Below are 23415 nucleotides of genomic sequence, written 5' to 3'. Positions count from 1 at the left end.
CTGGAGTTCACAGTAGGATTTATTGACATTCTCAGTAAACAGCCTGGAGCCCAAAGTGGGCCTCATGGATCCCGTGCTCACTGCCTGTCATGGTGGTTTTGGACGCGGCAGTGGAGGGGCTGGTACAGAAAGTGAAGCATTTATCAGGACACAGATGAGATGAGCGTGTATATTTTCCAGATCCGATCCCCTCATTTGCTTTTCCTATGAAAAGGAATAAAAATGTGAGGATTAGAGGCAAGGAGGTAGAGGGAAGCTGGTGTATACAGGGTGGAGACACTGTCCCAGGGTGTCTGTGCCGCCGGCTCCCTAGTTTAAGTGCTGCTTTCACATGGGTCGTCCAGGGCCAGGTTCCTAGAGCTGAGGGAGCTTCCTGCCTGCCGTTTCCAGGGCCATGGAAGTAAGTTCAAACTGACCAAGGTTTCCAAAGCCTGGCGGGAAGGCCGCACTTGGATGATACCGGGGCCTGGCCTTGGTTGGAGTCGCACACTGGAGCCCACCCGGAAACCTCTGTTCCTGGCACGTTGGACATGCTGACACGGCTCTGCCATCGTCCCCCTTCCAGGCAGGGCAGGCTCGGCAGCCCAGGTCGCTGCCCGGCCTTCACTGCGTCCCTGGGTTCCTTGCAGGGCGAGCTGGAGCGGCAGCTGCTGCAGGCCAACCCCATCCTGGAGGCCTTCGGGAACGCCAAGACCGTGAAGAATGACAACTCCTCCCGCTTCGTGAGTAGCGCGGCGGCGCCCCGGCTCTGGGGACAGAGGGCCTTGCCCGGAGCTTTGGCTCATGCTGCCTTTTCCTGGGTGCCCTCCCCTCAAAACCGAGGACGGTTCAGACTCGGTGCTATCTGGCCTGTCGTGTGGACTAGGCCAGACCGAATGCCAGTTGGTGTGGACCTGCCCTGCCCCTCTTAAGGACGAAGGCCACGAGTAGCTTCTTCAGCCTCCCTCATGAGAGGTGGAAAGGCCAGTGAGGGCGCTGCCTGCTGTGCCCCAGAGTGCTCAGCTGTCACCAGTAGCCAGTTAGTTCCCGGGTCAGGCAGAGAGGAACACTTCCACATAACTGGTCTCTTTCCCCCTCTGCGGAGGAACCTGGGTGTGGGATCAGCTTGTCTCAGGCTCATGGCCTTAGGCAGTGTGGCGCCTGAGTCCCGAGGTCCCGTGTGGTGTGGGCGTAGGGGGCCCCTGGCCTGGTACATGGGTCCCGTCTCTGGGTTTTCTCCCTCCAAGCTGTGCCCACCGGAGGTGGGGCGGGGGGCTGTGGTCTCCCCCGTGCTCTCTAGCTCCCCATGTCAGGGGCACCTCTGATCTCTTGCTATCCTTTCTTACTTAGGGCAAATTCATTCGCATCAACTTTGATGTCAATGGCTACATTGTTGGAGCCAACATTGAGACTTGTATCCTTGTGGTTCGTTGGGATAAGAGTCCTGGATCCGGAGGGGAGGCATGACCTCTGTAGAGAAGAAGCTGCCTCCTGATTCCAGCACTTTCCCCTTTATGGGCCCATCCTGACACCTTCTCTGTGGAGCTAGGGGACTGTCAGGATCGGCTAGTGCAAACCCAACACAGAGCTTAGGGCTTTCCTTATTTACAGGCAGGATAACCTGTGCTTTGAATGGCATGGAGCTGTTGAAAGCCGTCTAGTGTGGCTCCCAGAGGTAGGCGTTTGGGGGATGCCACTCTCCTGCGTGCCACCGTTTAGCCTTTGCTTGTGGGAATGTTCTTGTTCCCATTACCTGTAAGAATGAGACAAGGCTCTCGAAGGTGTGAGCTCCTCTTGGACATGCCATGCCCCTTGAAGGTGAGAACCCAGGTAGTTTGCTTTTGCTGTGTTTTGCCATTTTGTGCCATTCTTCCTTCCTGGTGAAGTTCAGTTCCTTTGGACGAGAATAAGAGGACAATGGAAGGCTGGCCAGGCACAGTGGCTCACGCCTGTAATCCCAACACTTTGGGAAGCTAAGGTGGGTGGATCACCTGAGGTCAGGAGTTCAAGACCAGCCTGGCCAACATGGCAAAACTCTGTCTCTACTAAAAATTAGCTGGGTGTGGTGGTGGGCGCCTGTAATCCCAGCTACTTGGGAGGCTGAGGCAGGAGAATCGCTTGAATCCAGGAGGTGGAGGCTGCAGTGAGCCGAGATCATGCCACTGCACTCCAACCTGGGTGACAGAGCGAGACTCTGTCTCCAAAAAAAAAAAAATGAGGAAAGTGGAGGGCTTGCCTTCTCCCCAGCTTGTGTTGCTCCTTAATATTTGCAAAGATCTTTTGGAGAAATCTCGTGCTATCCGCCAAGCCAAGGAAGAACGGACCTTCCACATCTTCTATTATCTCCTGTCTGGGGCTGGAGAGCACCTGAAGAGTGAGTAGTTGGCCTGCAGCCTGACACCGGGGCTGCCGGGCTCTGGGCCTCTTGCCAGAATTGGACCGTAGACATCATTTGGGAAATGAAAACTTTTGGCCTTGGGTTTAACGGGGAGAAGTGAGAGTGACTCCTGTTCTCTGCGCCATCCTAAGGACTTGGTCTTCTGTTTCTGACCATGCCAGAGAAAAGCTAGGGTGGGTTGCACATGTAGCTGCAAATCACAGGACCTGGCGCTCTCCTGGGCCAGGAGACGGGAGTGTCAGAGTCTCAGACACTGAGGAAAGCTGAACGTCACTGGCTACTCTGCGGTTTCCAGGGTGCGTCAGGGCTCAGGGTCTGTCCCAGTCTCTCCAACCTTTGAGGTCACAGCGCTGATGGAGCCTCCACTTTCAGCACCTCGCTGAGGCGCCCTTGCCCTCCACCCCTTACAGCCGATCTCCTGTTGGAGCCGTACAACAAATACCGCTTCCTGTCCAATGGACACGTCACCATCCCCGGGCAGCAGGACAAGGACATGTTCCAGGAGACCATGGAGGCCATGAGGATTATGGGCATCCCAGAAGAGGAGCAAATGGGTACAGGGCTGGCCCTCCTATGGTCGAGTGTGGGGCAGAGGAAGGCTGGTACCCACGGCCTCGGGGCATCAGGGTAGCCGATGGGCCTGGGGAGCCTGCTAGAGGCCAGGGGAAGGGGAAGGCCTTCAGTGTATGGGAAAATGATTCCTCAGATTTGAGGTTCAAGGTTATTTGTTCCTGGTGGTACCACAGGCATTCAGAAAGGGTGCAAAGGACATGTTCTTAACTGCCCAGGACTCGGGTCCACTGCACAGCCCTTGCCATTTGCTGAAAGTAGAATATTCACGTCCTGTCTCGGGGAGTGTGGAAGAAGCTGGGGATAGATGGGTGCTTTGTGCTGGTGAAGCCCAGCATGAATGGCAGTGCGGACAGGCCATGTCGGCCAGGAGGGGGTGAGCCCTCTAGGGTGGCTGGGCCCACCGCACACCGTTAGACGCAGACCTGGCGCCCCTGTGGCCCCAGGGAGTTGGGGGGTGTCCCTGCTTGGCTTGTCTGGCTTGAGGATCCCTAGATGAGTGGCCCCCACCCCCGGGAATCACCATGACCCATGTCTGCTTCTGAGCTGCCTCTGATTGCACCCAAAGGCCTGCTGCGGGTCATCTCAGGGGTTCTTCAGCTCGGCAACATCGTCTTCAAGAAGGAGCGGAACACTGACCAGGCGTCCATGCCCGACAACACAGGTAACACCCGGGGCCTCTCGCTGGAAATAATGGGGCAGGTGCTTGGCCATGGATTTGCTCAGGAGGGAAGGTCTTGCGGAAATTCCGGACACTATTCTTTTTAATGTTAGTATCTGTCGGTATTTTCTATACAGATGTAAAACACACGTAAACATGACCCTGCTTTTTTTTCTCACCAAGTAAGCATTTCAGAATAACTTAAACTTGTGATCATGTGGACCAGGGCTTCCCTTATTCATTCCTGAGACCAAACCATTCGTCAGGACACCAATGATTTCTGCCGTAGCTCCTCCTTAATGGGAGCCTTGCCTGTGACTATGTCGAGATCTTGAAATTATGTCCTTGCCACACCCGATTCAGCCCCTTTGTTAGGGTTGCTGCAAATGACCCCATGCAAGTTATTCAGTCTTAATGTGCCCTCCTTAGGGTCTCTCTAAAGATGTAACGCATGGGTGTGTGGATTGTAAAAGACACTCCTGACCGGGCGTGGTGGCTCACATCTGTAATCCCAGCAGTTTGGGAGGCTGAGGCGGGCAGATCACGAGGTCAGGAGTTCGAGACCAGCCTGGCCAACATTGTGAAACCCCATCTCTATTAAAAATACAAAAATTAGCCGGGCATGGTGGCGTGCGCCTGTAATCCCAGCTACTTGGGAGGTTGAGGCAGGAGAATTGCTTGAAGCCAGGAGGTAGGGGTTGCAGTGAGCCGAAATCGCGCCACTGCACTCCAGCCTGGGCAACAAGAGCAAGACGCCGTCTCAAAAAAAAAAAAAGACATTCCTGTGGGATCCTGTGCTGTTCCGTGCCCCAGCACCAGGTTGGCCTGCTCCTCTCAGCCCCATTGGTGGGTAGGGACCTGCTTTTACACTCTGAGGAGTGCGGCTGAGAGTGGACAGAGGAACCACTGCTGCCGCTGTGGCCTCCAGCCAGGACGCCTTCCTCTCTGCCCCGTGGGGCTCAGGGGAGGTACAGCTGCCCTGCCCACTGACCTGTATGTGGCTGCTGAGTCTGGGGGGTGCTAGGTGTCTGTGGCCCTGCTAAAGAAGGGCCCAGATGCGGTTGTCCTGGTAATGATTGCTCATTCACCCCGTGGCTTTCTTCCTCTCTGCTCCCAAGTCAAGCAGAGGGACTTATTCTCTTGGGTCTAATTAGAACTTTCTCTCTTGGGTCTAATTAGGACTTTTTGTCCCTCTCTTATTCTCTGAAAAATCTTAGCTGCCCAAAAGGTGTCCCATCTCTTGGGTATCAATGTGACCGATTTCACCAGAGGAATCCTCACCCCGCGCATCAAGGTGGGACGGGATTACGTCCAGAAGGCGCAGACTAAAGAGCAGGTATGTCCTCTGGGGCCAGGGCAGCTGGCTGCCTCCTGGGTGAATGTCCCTGCAGCAGCACAGTTGAGGCTGTTGTGGGCCATCCTGGGGTGTCCGTGTCAGGCACTTTCACATGATTCCATGATGCAGTCCTCACAGCAACCCGGAGAGAGGTGGCATAACGCCATCTAGAGCACTGGAGAAGCTTCATGGCACACTCAAGGCTTCACGCCCAGGAAGTGCCATCCTGAGACTGCATTGTGCCTCTTTACATTGAGATGGTATTTTGGCTGATTGGTCATCAAGGATATAGGCATGTCCTGTCTGGTATAAAAGCAGGAACTTGATGCCACTGTAGCTGAACTCCTTCTGGTGCCAGGGTGGCGGCTCCCGCCATCCTCGAGCCTGTGCCAAGCGGCTGTTTCTCTACCACCTGCTGCCTTGGGCTTGCCACGTGTGCTGAGAGACGAGCAGCAGCGCTTGCTCCTTCCTGCCAGACTGATGTGCCTGCCTGCCCCTGGAGTGGAGGTCCCGCCCAGTGCGGACCGCTTTCTGCCTCTCTCCGGGGTTTCTAGTTTCTTTTATGGTGCTGGCCATGGGGGTTTTTAGGGTGCCAAACCCATCTCTCAAAAATACTTGGAAGCTCATTTTGTTAGTCTTTCTCCCATTCACTGTACACTGACAGCTCACGGCTGTTTCTGTGCAGAAGCATTGCATGAAAGACAAGACTGTTGTTTTCAAAAGACATCGCGTATTATTCCTGCCACCTGTTCGTTTCCCTGACCATTAAGGAGAAACCTCCATTTTCTATTACAAAAATACTACATGACTCTTAATACAGAAAAATCGAGAGAAGGAAAACAATTCCCAGTGATGAATATCATTGGGCAGCTCTTTCCTACAAGACTTAAAAAAAAAAAAGAATTAAACTTAGTTCTCCTTCTGGCTTTTAATTACAGAGCTTTGCAAATGTGCAAAACAAAGAAGAGGGGAGAGTGTAAAGAGCCCCACGTGCCCATCACGTAGGCGGCTTCAGCAGTTACTAACTCACGGCGAGTCTTGGCTCATCGTTTGTCTTATCTCCCCCTGCCCCTCTGCCCACTGCCTTATTTTGATGAGATCGGGCGCGTTTAGGGTGGTATGGCCGTAGACTGCTGCCTTATTTTGATGAGATTGGGCGCGTTTAGGGTGGTATGGCCGTAGACTGCTGCCTTATTTTGATGAGATCGGGTGCATTTAGGGTGGTACGGCCGTAGACCACTGCCTTATTTTGAAGCATCACTTTTTCTGTAAATCCTTTAGTGTGTCCTCATTTTATTTCAAAAGATCTAAGTTTATTGTCCCCATATTGTTAGATATTAGGTTGTTTCTACTTTTCATCATTTTAAATAACACCACAGTGAACATATTTGTGTACGAAGATTTTTTTTTTTCCCCCACATACTTAGGGCTGTTCCTCTAGGGGGAGGACTCTAAAAGTGAAATTACTGGGGCATAGGGTATGAGGGTTTTCAGATCCTTTGTATCTGACACCACGCTCCCCGGGTGTGCCCCGCAGGCTGACTTTGCCATCGAGGCCTTGGCCAAGGCGACCTATGAGCGGATGTTCCGCTGGCTGGTGCTGCGCATCAACAAGGCTCTGGACAAGACCAAGAGGCAGGGCGCCTCCTTCATCGGGATCCTGGACATTGCCGGCTTCGAGATCTTTGATGTGAGCCTTGCCCTTCATTACCCACCCTGCTGCCTCCTTGGCCTGTTGGTTGCCTTATCCTTGGTTAAGAACCCTGCTTCTCATGGTCCTGCATCGATCTGAGTTGGCCATCTCCTTTGCATGAAGACTTTGGTTGGGTGTGGGGTTGTTTTTTTTTTTTTCTTTTTTAAAAGATAGGGTCTCGGCTGGGCACGGTAGCTCATGCCTGTAATCCCAGCACTTTGGGAGGCCAAGGCCGGCAGATTGCTTGAGGTCAGGAGTTTGAGACCAGCCTGACCAACATGGAGAAACCCCGTCTCTACTAAAAATACATTAGCCGGGCGTGGTGGCGCATGCCTGTAATCCCAGCTACTCAGGAGGCTGAGGCAGGAGAATTGCTTGAACCCGGGAGGCAGAGGTTGCAGTGAGCCGAGATCACGCCATTGCACTCCAGCCTGGGCAACAAGTGTGAAACTCTGTCTCAAAAAAAAAAAAAAAAAAAGTCAGGGTCTCGCTTTGTCACTCAGGCTGGAGTACAGAGGTGCAGTCATAGCTCACTGCAGCCTTTGCCTCCTGGGCTTAACTGATCCTCGCACCTCAGCCCCCTTAGTAGCTGGAACTATAGGCACGCACCACCACTCCCAGCTAATTTTTAAATTTTTTGTAGAGATGGGGCCTCAGGTGTGGCCCAGGCTCAGTTAGATGTGTTTTAAGCTAAACAGAAGGGCTCATTTTCAACCAGAAATGCTGGAGAAAATGAGACCTTTTGTTTGTTTGTTATTTTTTTTTTGAGGCAGGGTCTTGCTCTGTCACCCAGGCTGGAGTGCAGTGGTGTGAACATGGCTCACTGCAGCTTCGACCTCCCGGGCATAAGCCATTCTCCCACCTCAGCTTCCCGAGTAGCTGGTACTACAGGCATGTGGCATGACACCTGGCTAATTTTTGTATTTTTTGTACGGATGGGGTTTTGCCATGTTGTCCAGGCTGGGAGGATGGGACCTTTTAGGTCACATTCTTGGAGGCTTCCTGGGCAGGTGCTTCCTGTTTATTCTTCCAGCAAATATTCCCTGAGCATCGGGATAAGACATCTCCCTTGCCCATGACAACTTTGAGGTCTAGTAGGGAAACCGATACTTACAGTAGATTAGAGGTTCTTAACCTGGAGTCCACGGGAGGTTTGAGAGGAGCCATGAGCTGGGATGAGAAAATTACATCTTTATTTTTTACTAACCTCTCATTGAAATCATGTATTTTTTCCAGTTGCGAACTGAACAAACTATACAAACCACAGTTGTATTAGCAGTACTTGTGATCTGTCACCAATAGAAATCAGATGTTTTCGTGTTACATTCCGGTTGTTGCAGAGATCTGGTAGTGTCATTTATGCATCGCTACCTCAAAATTTTGGAAGTTATTAAGCCCATGGCTAGTTCTTGTTAATAAGGAAGCACAGAGGCCGGGTGCGGTGGCTCACTCCTGTAATCCCAGCACTTTGGAAGGCTGAGGCAAGAGAATCATTTGAAGTCAGGAGTTTGAGACCAGCCTGGGCAACAAAGCAAGGCCCCATCTCTTCAATAAAAAAATAGAAGGGCCTGGTGCAGTGGCTCACACCTGTAGTCCCAGCACTTCGAGAGGTTGAGGCAGAAGAATTGCTTGAGCTCAGGGGTTCAAGACCAGCCTGAGCAGCATGGTGAAACCCCATTTCTACAAAAAATACCAATATTAGCCATGTACCATAGTGTGTGCCTGGGGTCCCAGCTACTAGGGAGGCTAAGCTGGGAGGATCACTTGAGCCCAGGAAGCGGAGGCTGCAGTGAGCTGAGATTGCGCCATTGTACTCCAGCCTGGGTGACAGAATGAGACTCTGTCTCAAAAAATAAAAAATAAAAAAAAAAAACAATGTATTACTCGATCACAATATTTTGATGATTATATTTCAAAATAACTACTTTCTTTGTAATCTATTGGATGCAATTTAAAGCACTATTCTGAAAAGGCTTTACCAGACTGCCCGCGGTCACTGGCTCCAAAGAGTAAATGTTGCCCACTGCTGGGTGGATAAAGGGAAGGCCAGGAGCATCCGGGCTCTAAAGGCAGCGGCATGGAGGTGCCCAAGGAGGCCCTTCCTGTATCCCTGCCCCACCCTCCTTCTCAAGGGGTGTCTGGGCCTCTTTAGTGCAGGGTTGGCGTCTCTCTGACATTGTTTTCTCTCCTTGCAGCTGAACTCGTTTGAGCAGCTGTGCATCAATTACACCAATGAGAAGCTGCAGCAGCTCTTCAACCACACCATGTTCATCCTGGAGCAGGAGGAGTACCAGCGCGAGGGCATCGAGTGGAACTTCATCGACTTTGGCCTCGACCTGCAGCCCTGCATCGACCTCATTGAGAAGCCAGTGAGTACCAGGCTTGCTTTGACCTCACACCTGCCTCTGGCTTTTCCCTTCCGGGGCACCCGCTCCTCACCTCAGCTCTGTGTTGGTTGTGGAGGTGTCTTAACTCCCCTTCCTTTTGGTGCCACCCGGAGGATGAAGCCCCAAGGCTGAGATCCAGTGCCTGGGAGGCCTGGGTGGGTGCCTCCATTAGAGGAGATGCTCTGGGCTGCAGCTGTGGGCTGGGCTTTTCCCAGCTGCCGGACCAGGTGCATATGTGGCGGGGGCCCTAGCATCCTGTTTTCAGTCCCAGAAGACCACCCAGCATCCTCCTGAAGGCTGGGCTCGATAAGCATTTCTTTGTCTTAAAGAAACAGCCATGCATGGATGTAGTAAGGCCCTATCGCGGGCTGCTTTCACTGTAGCATGGAACAGTGCAGACCCTGGGCATTGAGTGCTCTGCCCAGGTGTACACGTACCAAAGCTCAGCTCATCCCCCCCATAAAACCAGCAAGCAGCAGTGCTTTTATCGCCAGCATTAGCTGTGTGAAGATGGAAAAGAGGAACCCTTTCCAATGAGTTCATACTTAAACCTCTTGCCAGGTAGAGGTTGGGTCGCCTGTTTGTGTTTTAGGCTTGTTGAGGGTATGATCTGTAATGAAGCCTGAGCTGTTCCTGTGTCTGGGTTTTCTTCTTTTTTTTTTTTTTTTTTTTTTTGAGACGGAGTCTCGCTCTGTCGCCCAGGCTGGAGTGCAGTGGCCTGATCTTGGCTCACTGCAAGCTCCGCCTTCCGGGTTCATGCCATTCTCCTGCCTCAGCCTCCTGAGTAGCTGGGACTACAGGCGCCCGCCACCACGCCCAGCTAATTTTTTTGTATTTTTAGTGGAGGCGGAGTTTCACCGTGGTCTCAATCTCCTGACCTCATGATTTGCCCTCCTCGGCCTCCCAAAGTACTGGGATTACAGGTGTGAGCCACCGCGCCTGGCCTGTCTCTGGGTTTTCTTTTGATTATGGTTAATTGATCAGAAGGCCTAGGACAAAGTTTTTTCAGTTTGAAAAAAATTTCCTTTTTTTTTTTGAGACAGATTTTTGTTCTTGTCGCCCAGGCTGGAGTGCAATGGCGTGCTCTCGGCTCACTGCAACCTTTGCCTCCCTGTTTGAAGCGATTCTCCTGCCTCAGCCTCCTGAGTGGCTGGGATTACAGGCTTATTTTTGTATTATTAGTAGAGACGGAGTTTCACCACGTTGGCCAGGCTGGTCTCGAGCTCCTGACCTTAGGTGATCCGCCCGCCTCGGCCTCCCAAAGTGCTGGGATTACAGGCGTGAGCCACCGCGCCTGGCCAAAAATTTACTTTTGTAATGAGCTTTTTTCTTTAATCAGTTGAATTTTCCAACTAATAGGAACCCACTGGGCTTCAAGTTTTGTCAGCCTCTCTGCAGTGTCCAAACCTGCTTTCTTGTCTTGTAAACTCAGTGTGCAGAAGGCTGCTGGGTCCCTGGGACTATCTTCCTCAAGGGGCTCCTCCTACATATCCCATCTCATCATAGACATGCAGACGCAAAGCATGTGGGTTGGCATCTCCCGTGGCAGGATCACAGGGTACTTGTTGAGGGCAGCCTCCTGGGCAGACCCCAGTGCACTGTGAAGTCAGACTCTGGCCCCGCGGGTCAGCGGATGTGCACTTTTCATCAGACCCACTGAGGGTTTCACTAATGCTGGAGAACCACCGCGATGGATCCTTGGGTAAAGGTGTCAGCCGCAGCCTGGGCCCCAGAGGTTTCTTTAGAAGCTAGAAATCTTCAACAGTGCTTTGCTTCTCCTGGGGAGTGTGTCGCCCACCGTCTGTGGGATTCAGGGGATTCTGATGTCCGGGCTTTGGCTTCTTGAAGGGTGGGGTGCCCCTCCCAGGGTGCACTCACCTGTGCTGATGCTGCGCTTCCTCCAGGCAGGCCCCCCGGGCATTCTGGCCCTGCTGGACGAGGAGTGCTGGTTCCCCAAAGCCACCGACAAGAGCTTCGTGGAGAAGGTGATGCAGGAGCAGGGCACCCACCCCAAGTTCCAGAAGCCCAAGCAGCTGAAGGACAAAGCTGATTTCTGCATTATCCACTATGCCGGCAAGGTGAGGAGCGCTCACGGGGAGGTGCTGGCCAGATCTTCACAGGAGAGGTGGAGTCGAGGCTCTCTAGGACCAGGAGCCGGGCAGCTGCTGGGGACGCAGGGGTGTGACCTGAGTACGGTTCTTGCACAATGACTCACCCAGTAATGTGGCCGGTGACAGCATCATCATTTACACAGCTTACAGAGCCCCTTCACCTGCTCCATGCTGTTAGAAGCCTGCGGCACTCCACCGCGGTGCCCAGGCTGGTTGTCATCATGCATTATCGTTGGGCCTGTCTGCCAGGTGCAGAGCTTTGGCTAAAGGCATGTGCTCAGAGTTTGAATAGAGCTCTGCCACTCATAAGCTGTTTGACTTCGGGTCAGTTACTTAACCTCTCTGATCCTTGGTTTCCTCATCTGGAAAATGAGAATGACCACCCACCATACAGGATTATGTGGATTAAACAAGCTCTTGAGGCCCAACATGTGGCATGAATCAGTGCTCCGGGGCAGGGCTCCTCAACCTCGGCATTCCTGGTATTGCGGGCTGGGTCATTCTTTGTTGTGGGACCCTCCTGTGCATGCTAGGATGTTTACCAGCATCCCTGGCTGCTACCCACTAGAGTTAGGAGCACCGTCCTTAGTTGTGACAACCCAAAATGTCTCCAGACATCGCCAAACATGTCCTAGTTTCGGGGGGGGAGGTGCGGGGAATTGCCACTGCTGTGGGTGACAGCTGCTGTTGCCAAGTCTGCCACAGTCAGTCAGTGGTGGACCTGCCCTCAACACTTACCTAGCAGACATCTTCCCAGTCTGCATGTGACTGGGGCTTAGACCCAACTTAGTCCATAGAGGTGCATGCTTAGACAAAAGCTGGTTTTTCTCAGCATATCGTGTGCTTCCTGCACAAAGACCCTAACAGTTAATTGCTGTGATTAGGCAGGGGCTGCGCCATCTCCTTGTTGGTGGTGACTAGTTGGTGATGACTGGCGAGGAGATGTGGGAGCTTTCACAGGTCTGTTCCCAAGCCACAAGGAGTCCAGGCCCGGTTCTAGCACACCTGTGCCGGCCTCTTCTATTTAGCTTGGCTGGTTCCTGGGGCTGCGGAAGCAACTGTCTTAAACTACCCATGAAAAAAATAATAAAGCCAAAAAAGCGATTTACACCATTAACCAAGGAATGTTTCCCGAGCCTCCTTTCTCCACTCTCACCTTTGGGAAACGCACACGCTCATCAGTGCAGAAGCTTCCAGGAAGGCTTTTGCTGTGGGATTATTTGTAATGCTGAATAATTAGGAATACCCTAAAGCCCACCAAGGGGCCTGCACGATGGCATCAACTGTGGTGCGTCTTTCCGTGGGCTGTGCTGTGGCCGCTAAAAGGACAAGGATGTTGGCCTGGGTGGGAGGGTCTGAGCCTGGGGAAAGGAAACTGGCATCACCTACCTCATGATAAACAGCAACATGCATTCGCCTGCATGCTGAGGGGAGCACCCCTGGGATGCAGCAGCGTGCATTCGCTTGCATACTGAGGGGAGCACCTCTGGGCTGCAGTTTGTGTTGGGAAGAGGGAGGCCTAGGTCCCTGATGCTCTCTGGGTATTGTTCTGGGACCTTTTGCAATGAAGATGTCATGCTGTATTACTTGTTCTGTTAAGTATATATTTTAGCAGAGCACAGGGGCTCATGCCTGTAATCCCAACACTTGGGGAGGCCAAGGCAAGAAGACAGTTTGAGCCCAGACGTTTGAGACCAGCTTGGGCAACATAGTGAGACCCTATCTCTATCTTTTTTTTTTTTTTTTGAGACGGAGTCTTGTTCTGTTGCCCAGGCTAGAGTACAGTGGCACGATCTCGGCTCACTGCAACCTCCGTCTCCCAGGTTCAAGCGATCCTCCTGCCTCAGCCCCCCTAGGGGCTGAGATTACAGCCCTGTAGCTGGGATTACAGGCACGTGCCACCACGCCCGGCTAATTTTTGTATTTTTAATAGAGATGGGGTTTTGCCATGTTGGCCAGGCTGGTCTCGAACTCCTGACCTCAGGTGATCCACCCGCCTTGGCCTCCCAAAGTGCTGGGATTACAGGCATGAGCCACCGCACCCAGCCCCTATCTCTATTTAAAATGAGAAAAAAGGAATCTATTTCTGGGAGTCTCTCTGAACCCTCTAGTTTAGGAGGCTGCCCAATTAAAAAAATATATTTAAAAACAGAATATATTTCCAAAAAGATGAAACTGACACATACTCAGAGAAAATGTGAACATTCTAAAAAGACAAAGAAAAAACAAAAATTACTTGTCTTATGACTAAAAAGAAATAGTAACATTTTGTTGTCCTTCCAGGATTGTTTTTCTTTGTTCATATTACCTAAAAATTTTAAAAAAGCTGAAACCCAGCACGGTACTGTGTGGCCACCATGCCATGTCTAGAGCCAGGCTCCCGTTGTTGGCCATGCCTTGCTTTGAGGCTTTGGCTCTGCACGAGACGCCGCAGAGAACGTCTTGATGCCTCGCTCCCCTTATCCTCACCACTTCCTTCTTAGGGGTGGAAATGCTGGATCAAAGGGTCTTCACGTTTTCTGACTTTTCCATGCATGGGGTTAGCCTGTGCTCCGGAGACCCTGTGAGCACACATGTCCCCAGCGCAGCTTGTGACTCCTGCCTCTCTGACCCCGCCAGGTGGATTACAAAGCTGACGAGTGGCTGATGAAGAACATGGATCCCCTGAATGACAACATCGCCACACTGCTCCACCAGTCCTCTGACAAGTTTGTCTCGGAGCTGTGGAAGGATGGTACGCCCTTTGCCCTTCGCCCCCTGCCTCCTCTTGGCTGCGGCTGGTCATCTTCCCACCTCCACAGTGGGCCGAGCTGCCAAACAAGGGGTACACATGTGCCCCCTGACATAGGCCAGGTGGTCTCTGCCCTCTGTAGCTCCCATGAGAGAGGGCTCCTCGGACCGAAACAGGAGGCCACTGCCCTTGCGCACACACCGTGGCCGGGTCCTCCTGGGCGGAGCGCTTTCCGTGTGTGGGAAAGTCAAGGGCAGCCCCGAGCCTCGAAGCCCAGGCTCCCAGCCCCGCGCCATGTTGCATTCCCGCCTCTACTCCTTGGTAGGCTGGTTGCTTTGAGTGGTTCTTTTTAATTCTTTCTGTTGGTTTCTCCTTTTCCTTTGCCTGGGTTTTGCTTTAACCTCTCTGTTGCAGAGATGCAGAGCACTCAGAGAGCCTATTTCTATCATCGCTTTCCTATTCTCCACCTAGAACCAGGTGACTGGCCGCCCGAGTGGTGTCTCTTGTGTGTGTGGTGCGTCCAAAGCTGTGCAAGAAATGCTTCTGCCTAGGTTTTCTCGCGCCCCCCCTTGCCTTGGCTTTTCCTGCCTGCTTACACCCCCGTTCCCTGATCTGCCCCTGGGCTTCTGGGCAGGTTCCCCGCACTGTGCCTATCGCCGGCCTGTAGTAGCAAACTGGGCAAATGAGGGGCTGTGTCTGGAATTTGGAGACGTCACATTCAAATCTTAAAACACTGTAATCCCAGCAATCTGGGAGGCTGAGGCGGGAGGATTGCTTGAGGCCAGGAGTTTGAGACCATTCTGGGCAACATAGGGAGACCCTCATCTCTACAAAAAAATTAAAAAAAAAAAAATCAGCTGGGTGTGATGGTGCATGCCTGTAGTCCCAGCTGCTCAGGAGGCTGAGGCGGGAGGATCACTTGAGCACAGGTCAAGGCTGCAGTGAGCTGTGATTGCACCACTGTACTCCAGCCTGGGTGACAGGGTGAGACCCTGCCTCAAAAAAAAAAAAAAATCTTAAAACAGCAAAAATTGTTTAAAAATTTGTATCCTCCTTAGAGCTTCATGCCTAAAGACAGCGTCTTAAACTGCTTGAATGGCTGCGAGTGTCTTAGCATGAGGTTCAGGTATGCACACTGCTGTGTCTGTGCACCTGAAAGCTGAAGTGGCATCTGTGTGTTCATTCAACAGTTGCTCGGCAAGGTCTGCTCCATGGGGGTGGGGCCAGGACACACTCAGCTAAAAGGGCCAGTTATGATGAGGCCACATTAACCTTTCTCTGGACAACCTGAGTGGCTTTTGCAAGTTACCACGCCCAGGAAACCTGTGGTAGCCAGGAATATTGACCCTGTGGTGGGTACATAAGGTCAAAGATGACTCCCTTTTTTTTTTTTTTTGAGACAGAGTTTTGTTCTTGTCACCCAGGCTGGAGTGCCATGGTGCAATCTCGGCTCACTGCAACCTCCGCCTCCTGGGTTCAAGTGATTCTCCTGCCTCAGCCTCCCAAGTAGCTAGGATTACAGGCACCCGCCACCACGCCCAGCTAACTTTTGTATTTTTAGTAGAGATGGGGTTTCACCATGTTAGCCTGGCTGGTCTCGAACTCCTGACTTCAGGTGATCCACCCGCCTCAGCCTCCCAAAGTGCTGGGATTACAGGCGCGAGCCACCATGCCCAGCCACCTCCCATTTTAATTGACTGGTTTGTAGGCTCCATCCACACTCCTGGCTTCTGTCTTAAGCAAGCATCCTTTTTGCTGTCTTCAAGTAAATAATAGTAATCTGGCCGTGAAGGAATACGAAACGGGCTTCGTCAGTATTCTTCACTTTTATATCCAGTAATAGAAGGCTTCACATTTAACATTAGCTCTTGCTTAAACTGATCTCAAATCGCTGGCCACTTTGGTTTGGCTTGTTTGTTTGTTTTTTACCTTGGAGGATGCAATTGGTTTAATTGCTGCTGGGTGTGAGTTCCAGTGCTAGGGGCTGCTTCCCTTGAGGGTCGGTTTACATGAGAAAGACCCGTGCACCAGGAGACAAAATGAAATACAAGTACGTGAAGAGATCCCTAAACTTTGGAGTATTTATAATCAAGAGCAGTTCTTTGGAGCTCTCCCTTCCTGAGATGTCTGCGTAGATATAGAGGGGACCCTGCAAGGTTCTGCAGACAGTGACAGGGTGGCCCCAAGCTCTGCCTCCTGACTCCCAGCCGAGTGCTCTTATGACAGGGTCAGTGAGAATTCAAGATACTGATTTTTTTTTTTTCTAACTGTGACCATAGGACAGCAGGATTCCGTAAGCCAGGTTTTCACACCCCTCGTTAGAGCCAGGCTAGTAGAATTCTCACTATTCCAAAATACATGACTAGCTTCATTGAGTCTTTTTGGAAATAAGAGCTTCGAGAGTGGCTGAAGATAGGTGACAGGAAGGTGAGGTGGCCATGGCAGATGCATGGCTCCCCAAGAGACAAGCCCAGTGCCTTTGCATCCCCCTTGGCTTCCCGCTGTGTTTGGGGATGACCTTAGCACCCAGTGTAGGCTCCAATTGGAAAGGGTCCTGTTGTTTCATTCTGTCTCCTCTTTTCCTGTCCGACGTGTGCCTGTCTCTCTCTCCTACGTGCTCCCCCACCACCCAGCTGCAACTGTGTGGGCACTCACGTGTTCTCTGTGGTCTCCACAGTGGACCGCATCATCGGCCTGGACCAGGTGGCCGGCATGTCGGAGACCGCACTGCCCGGGGCCTTCAAGACGCGGAAGGGCATGTTCCGCACTGTGGGGCAGCTTTACAAGGAGCAGCTGGCCAAGCTGATGGCTACGCTGAGGAACACGAACCCCAACTTTGTCCGCTGCATCATCCCCAACCACGAGAAGAAGGTGCGGCTGCCTGGTGGGGTGGCCCGGGCAGGGCACTGTGGTGTGGGGTGCTCAGCCCTTGTCTGTCTCCCCAGCAAAAGCACCCCTCCAGCCCCCCAGCATGCACAGAGCCTTCAGTCGTTTCTCTGCAGGGTGGGCCTTGGCTCGCTTAGGAGATACGCTACATTCACAGCCTGCACTTCCTCTTGGTGGCATTGGCCCCTCCCAGACCTGGATCCTTTGACTTCATTGTCCAAACCTGTGGGCTGTAGCGACCCCCTCCCTTAGGCTCTTGCCCTGTCAGGTTCATAGGGGTTCCCTGACTATTCTCCGACTGTTCTAGGCACGGAAGTGAGACCGCATGCATGTGTTTTCTTCTCCAGGCCGGCAAGCTGGACCCGCATCTCGTGCTGGACCAGCTGCGCTGCAACGGTGTTCTCGAGGGCATCCGTATCTGCCGCCAGGGCTTCCCCAACAGGGTGGTCTTCCAGGAGTTTCGGCAGAGGTGAGCCAGGGCCCGGAGCCCGCTTCTCCTGGGCCCTGCTGTGCGTGCAGTGAGTCCCAGAGGTGGGCTGCTGCTCCCTGGCAGGATCCTGTCGTGAGGGAGCGACGTCCTCCATCCATGTAGAACTGAGTCTGGCCAGCTCTTCCCCACCTCCTTCTCTTTTCCACCCTTTGCAGGAAAGGAGACTTCCCCATTTTAATACCGAAATGCAGGTCATCATCATCCTGTTGACTTTTGCTCCTAGTAACTGCCGGCCCTGGTGCTATTTGCTACAGTTAGAGGAGCTATGAAAAGAAATGTAAAAGAATCAGCCAGAGACCTAGGATATTACAGGAACTTTGTGGAAATGAAACACGGCCGTGCGTTGCTGTGTGCGAAGACGGCGACACCTTCCTGTTTCTCTAATGACTGTGCTGAGTGTCAGTTGCTGTCGGGACGCAGCCCTTTATTTCTTGGGCCATCTCTGTTTATTAGCAGCTCCCTGCAGCGTCCCAGGGAAGCTGTGTGAACATGGCTGTCCCTGGGTGACAGATGAGGATCTCAGGCAATTAGCACTTAGTCCAACCTGAAGCACGCCCTTGAGTGATTGAAACGGTCCTACACGAGTTTCCATTCACTTTCCGGAAAACACCAAGGCTTCCTTGTCTCATTCAGCCGAAGAAAAGAGTGGGGTGGGATTTGCCTGTGTCTTCTTTCCTTAGGAGAGTTTGTGTAAAGAATTCTGTGTCTGTTGCATTGTAGAAATGATGTTAATCTCTCGCCTATATTCCAGGCATGTGGAATCGAGGCAATGGGTAAAATGACCAGGCTTCTCTTTCCTTCCTCAGATATGAGATCCTGACTCCAAACTCCATTCCCAAGGGTTTCATGGACGGGAAGCAGGCGTGCGTGCTCATGGTGAGTTGAGCTGCTGTCCCTGCCTCTCTGGATGGGCAGCCCCTTGTCTGGGGAGTGCCCACGTGGCCAGGGCCCACCTTGCTATATCAGTGGTCGGTGGATGCCCAGGCTGTGTCCCTTCTGATGCTCCGCGTCTGACTCTGCCGGGCGCCCTTTGCAGTAGCCCCTAGGCCTCAGATAGCCAGGGATGGTGTTTGGCACCAGGGTTGTGTGGAGGAGACAAGAACTGTAGCCATGGCCGGGCTCTGATGTAAGATGATGGCCTCTTTGGTTTGGGGGACATTCTCCTGCTTTCTTGCTCACGGGCCTGACTCCACATCCAGTGTGGTGAGCAGGGCAGCTCACAGCCAGGGCAGCAGGCCTGGTGCTCCGTGACCTGGGCTTCTCCTCCCTCCCTCCCCACTCCCAGCCCTAGCGCAGTGCTGGACGGGCTGTGCGCATGCTCTGAGTTCCGGTTGATTGAAAGCCCTGCGGTGACTCAGTGCCAAGCCAGGGCTGAATCCCACCCTGCTCCTTTTTTCCCCTTCCCAGCATCCTGTTGTTTCTGGCGTGTCCAGGTTAGCAGCTGCTACCTTTGGCCTTGTTTTACTTCACGTTCTTTCTAAAGAATCAGAAAGCTTTGGCTGCAGAGTAGGGAGTTGGTGGGAGGAAAAGAGAAGGAAAAATTCAACACCTACTGTGTGCACAGCCTGCGTTCGGTGACGGGGAGATAGGGAACAGGAAGAAGGAGGGAGAGGAGATGGCTTTCTGCTCTCCAGATGCTCGTCAGCCAGTGAGAAGAAGGGTGAAGGGCACACCTCCAGCTGTGCCTGGGCCACCCTTTCATGGAGCTGTGGCCAGTTGCTGGCCAGGTAAACGGCCTGCTCCTCCCACCTAGATAAAAGCCCTGGAGCTCGACAGCAATCTGTACCGCATTGGCCAGAGCAAAGTCTTCTTCCGTGCCGGTGTGCTGGCCCACCTGGAGGAGGAGCGAGACCTGAAGATCACCGACGTCATCATAGGGTTCCAGGCCTGCTGCAGGGGCTACCTGGCCAGGAAGTGAGTCCCGGGAGATACTCCTGCCCCGCATGCCAGGCCTTGCCACGCCCTTCTGTTGCCAAAGGGCACTTAGCAGGCCACCCCGCTGCAGCCAGTCACATGCCTGTCAGGGAGGCCCAGGTGGCTCTTCCTACCCCTGTTCCTGGATTTCTACCTTTGAGGAGTAGAATCGGGCAGTTCTTTTTTTTTTCTTTTTTTTTTTTTTTTTTTGAGACGGAGTCTCACTCTGTCGCCCAGGCTGGAGTGCTGTGGTGCGTTCTCGGCTCACTGCAACCTCCACCTCCCACGTTCAAGTGATTCTCCTGCCTCAGCCTCACTTAGTAGCTGAGGTTACAGGTGCACGCCACCACGCCCAGCTAATTTTTGTATTTTTAGTAGAGACGGGGTTTCGTCATTGTTGCCCAGGCTGGTCTCGAACTCCTGACCTCAAGTGATCCGCCCACCTCAGCCTCCCAAAGTGCTGGGATTACAGGCATGAGCCACTGCTCCTGGCTGAATCTGGCATTTCTGATTGGGGTTTAGAGTGATGGGTGGGAAGAGGCTGACTCTGCTTGGATTTGCCTGCCTGAAGGATCCTGCTTACCAGGACTCCTTACCGTGTGACCCTTGTGGGGACAGCACCCAGAGCCTGCCTGTCCCTAAAGAACCCTGTGATTCCAGGGGAGCAGGCCATCCTCGAGTCCAGACTCATCTTTGACTCCCTGGGGAATGACGGCTCCCCTGCTGCAGGACAGCGGCTGTGGGCACTGCACACTCGTCCCCTTGTGCTCGGGGATGGGGTCCTAGCAGGAGCGCCGAGCTCTGGGAGACGAAGCTTGAGCATTTGCACAGATGGAGGCTTGTTTATCCAAAAGCCCTCCAGCTGACACCTGCAGCCCACCTTCACAGTACATCAGCTTCTGACGTTCTCCCACCAAACAAAAGCTCAGATAGGGAACAGCACGAAGGGTGGGAAGCTGAAGTCCAGAGTCACCCAGGGCCAGTCAGCTTAATCACCAAGGGTCACGCTCAGTCCCCACACTGAGTAGGATCTGTGGTTACTTCACACGTGCCTTCACCCCCATGGGCACCTCAGTGGAGGGGTAGTCTGGTGACCTAGGTCCTTCACCGACTGTAAGATTAGTGCCTCATGGAGTCACACAGCCTGTAAGTGGGAGAAACTTATCTCAACCCCAAGGCCAGACCCCTTCCCTGAATTTCTTTCTTGAGGTGCCCCAGGCAAGGGTAGACCCCCAGAAAAGCTTGAGGACAAGACCAGGACTGTTAGGTCGGGTCTGCTGTCCACTGCTCCGCGCTGACCATGTTCCTCACCACACAGAGCATTTGCCAAGCGGCAGCAGCAGCTTACCGCCATGAAGGTCCTCCAGCGGAACTGCGCTGCCTACCTGAAGCTGCGGAACTGGCAGTGGTGGCGGCTCTTCACCAAGGTGCGTGCTAGAAGGGCCTCCTGAGTAGCTGGGACTACGGGTGCACACCACCATACATACCTGGCTAATTGTTTGTATTTTTTGTAGAGGTGTGGTCTCACCATGTCGCCCAGGTTGGTCACAAACTCTTGGGCTCCAGCAATCCTCCTACCTCAGCCTCCCAAAGTGCTGGAATTACAGGCATGAGCCACTGTGCCCGGCCCTTTTTGATTTTTAGTAGAGACAAGGTCTCACTATCTTGCCCAGGCTGACCTTCCTGGCCTTTAAAAAAAAAATCTCTTTATTTTTAAACTTGTCCGGGCTGCTTTTGTGTATAATACATAATTTATGGTAATGGCGAAAAACCAACTCACAAAAAGCCTAAAGAATTAAATAAAAATTCACACATAAACCCTTAGCCTAAACCAACAGCAGCAGCTATTTTAGTGTTTAATTTCTCGCTCTTTTTCTCACTGCCTATAAAACCTCAGCTATGTAAACAGTATACATTCTTCCATAGCTGAGTTTGACTCATATAAACAGTTGTAGTTCGTACGTTCCATTTATGATTCCTTCATAAGCATCGTTTTTTTAGAGGTAGTGTGCTGTTCCCTAGGGAACACATCATTATCTGGGTACTTTTTCAGAGATGGGTCCTTCCTCATTTTCTTGCTGTGATAAACAATGCCGAGGTGAACATCTTCACGCACACGCAGGGATAGTTTCCCTGGAATGTAGTTAGCGGGTCAGAAGCCCGTGGTACAGAGCGCCAGGAAGGATGTGCCTGCTTGCAGCCCCCACCACAGCGTGTCTTCTTGCCCCTCACTTTCATGTTTCCAGAGGTGAGGGAGAGGCCTCACACCTGTTGGCAGAGGCGGGCATCTTCCAGCCGAGCATGTCTCTACCTCTATCTCCTCTCCCAGGTCAAGCCGCTGCTGCAGGTGAGCCGGCAGGAGGAGGAGATGATGGCCAAGGAGGAGGAGCTGGTGAAGGTCAGAGAGAAGCAGCTGGCTGCGGAGAACAGGCTCACGGAGATGGAGACGCTGCAGTCTCAGGTGGGTGTCAGTGCAGGCTCAGTCCAGGTCGCACGACCTGCCTGGTGCTGCCACCTGCTGGCCATCGGTAGGCACGGCATGCTGGAAGTTTCTATTACTATAGGAGTTTTCTACAACTGAGTTTCCTATTACTGTAAACAGTGACCAGTCTCTCTGCAGACCCCATTGGGTGTTAAGTGATGTAGGGAGGCCACTTAATAGAGTGGAACGTTCACAAGTGTTGGGTTCAAACCTCAGCTCTACCACATGACTTGAGCCCATTTCCTGGGACCTTGCTCTGGAGCTCATGGGGTAGTGAAAAATCAAGGACACGATGTCTGGAAGGTACCTGGAAGCTTCAGAGCTCTCCAGATGAAAGCTACTTTTGTCTGCATGTTCCTTTCCCTCTGGGATCCCGAGCCATGGCGTCCGTCCTTGAGGATGGAGTGGCTTGAGGGTGTTGCGAGGAGCTTGTGTTTTCCACTTGTTGTTTGCAGCTCATGGCAGAGAAATTGCAGCTGCAGGAGCAGCTCCAGGCAGAAACCGAGCTGTGTGCCGAGGCTGAGGAGCTCCGGGCCCGCCTGACCGCCAAGAAGCAGGAATTAGAAGAGATCTGCCATGACCTAGAGGCCAGGGTGGAGGAGGAGGAGGAGCGCTGCCAGCACCTGCAGGCGGAGAAGAAGAAGATGCAGCAGAACATCCAGGTTCCTGCCCGCTGCACCCGGGGAGGGGTGGCGCCGGAGGGGCAGGGCGGGGCGGAGGAGCAGGAACCAGGAGCTGGGAGAACATGGAATTAGGGTCCAAGGAGGCTGCTCCTCACGCAATCTGCTTGGGGCTCTCAGTGAGAGGTGTTCCCTTTGGGCTGGTAGTTTGTGACATGTGCATCTGAGATCTCCATGAGCACTGCCTGGGCCAGCATCAAGGCCAATTTGATTTCCCTGCCATTAGCCCTGGCCCTGGCTAGCCGAAGGGGCACAGGGCCAGCACCTCTGCGTCCTGCCTGTTTCATGGGTGGGAGCTTGCTGCAGGAAACCCTTCAGAACATTGCACCGATGTTCTGGCCCTGTGTCCCAGTTTGAAATCTGGAATCCTACAAATGGGGCTTGGGCCCTGCCTCGGCTGTGGCCCTGGGCTGGCGGACCTTGCCGTCCCCACCTCAGCCATGGCCCTGGGCTCACAGACCTTGCTATTTTCTCCTTGGCGTTTGGATCTGGCCTTCGGACCTTGCTGCCTTCACCTTGGCCATGCCTCTGGGCCTGCTGTCCTTACCGTGTCTCTGGCCCCCGGCAGGAGCTTGAGGAGCAGCTGGAGGAGGAGGAGAGCGCCCGGCAGAAGCTGCAGCTGGAGAAGGTGACCACCGAGGCGAAGCTGAAAAAGCTGGAGGAGGAGCAGATCATCCTGGAGGACCAGAACTGCAAGCTGGCCAAGGTGAGGCCCGTGGCTGTCGCCTGCCGCTGCTCCAGGGGCGCCGTGGATGGGAGAGTGTGGTCACCCTTGCAGGGCCTGGCTCCCCGCTGCTGCTGCTTCCTGTCTCTTCTGCCTGCAGCATGAGGGCTTCTGCTTAACTGCAAGTGCTCCCTGGAGGTCCCATGGGCCTTAGTTGAGGGATTTCCTCATAAGCAAAGGGGCCCTGGGGAAGGGTTTGTCCTTTCCCCTCTGGAAAGCTCTTCTTTGCCAGCCGTGAGACCCGAGCCTGTGTAAAGGTGGCCATCTGTGCAGCATTGCAAGTGTTGGTCACTGTGGGGTTGGGGACACCTTGGTGGCTCTGTGTTGAGATACGGGGTACTCTTCCTCCACTGTCCCTGGGCGGCAGCTATTC

At 53.1% G+C, this 23415-nt stretch overlaps 1 protein-coding gene across 1 annotated transcript in view, besides 1 other annotated feature; it reads left to right on the top strand.

Annotated features, from left to right (window-relative positions):
* MYH9 (myosin heavy chain 9) overlaps positions 1-23415 on the top strand; it is a 106688-nt gene that overhangs the window by 64817 nt on the left and 18456 nt on the right. Inside the window, exons 6-23 of the mRNA NM_002473.6 lie at positions 630-722; positions 1330-1393; positions 2255-2353; positions 2788-2931; positions 3516-3611; positions 4826-4944; positions 6482-6634; positions 8833-9006; positions 10929-11102; positions 13755-13869; positions 16544-16737; positions 17100-17221; positions 18049-18118; positions 18996-19156; positions 20475-20583; positions 21486-21617; positions 22094-22300; positions 22887-23024. Of these exons, the coding sequence (NP_002464.1) occupies positions 630-722; positions 1330-1393; positions 2255-2353; positions 2788-2931; positions 3516-3611; positions 4826-4944; positions 6482-6634; positions 8833-9006; positions 10929-11102; positions 13755-13869; positions 16544-16737; positions 17100-17221; positions 18049-18118; positions 18996-19156; positions 20475-20583; positions 21486-21617; positions 22094-22300; positions 22887-23024 (2364 nt within the window). The remainder of the gene's footprint in view (positions 1-629; positions 723-1329; positions 1394-2254; positions 2354-2787; positions 2932-3515; positions 3612-4825; positions 4945-6481; positions 6635-8832; positions 9007-10928; positions 11103-13754; positions 13870-16543; positions 16738-17099; positions 17222-18048; positions 18119-18995; positions 19157-20474; positions 20584-21485; positions 21618-22093; positions 22301-22886; positions 23025-23415) is intronic.
* Positions 21996-23195: an enhancer, noted in NCBI's record as "CDK7 strongly-dependent group 2 enhancer chr22:36696002-36697201 (GRCh37/hg19 assembly coordinates)". NCBI's record gives its function as "activates an origin of replication core promoter dependent on BRD2, BRD4, P300/CBP, MED14 and CDK7 cofactors, with strong dependence on CDK7, by STARR-seq in HCT116 cells {active_cell/tissue: HCT116}" and the evidence as "EXISTENCE:reporter gene assay evidence [ECO:0000049][PMID:35650434]".

The sequence above is a fragment of the Homo sapiens genome, chromosome 22 (assembly GCF_000001405.40).
Source record: "Homo sapiens chromosome 22, GRCh38.p14 Primary Assembly".
NCBI lineage: Eukaryota > Metazoa > Chordata > Mammalia > Primates > Hominidae > Homo > Homo sapiens.
This window is presented reverse-complemented; position numbering and strand designations above follow the sequence as displayed.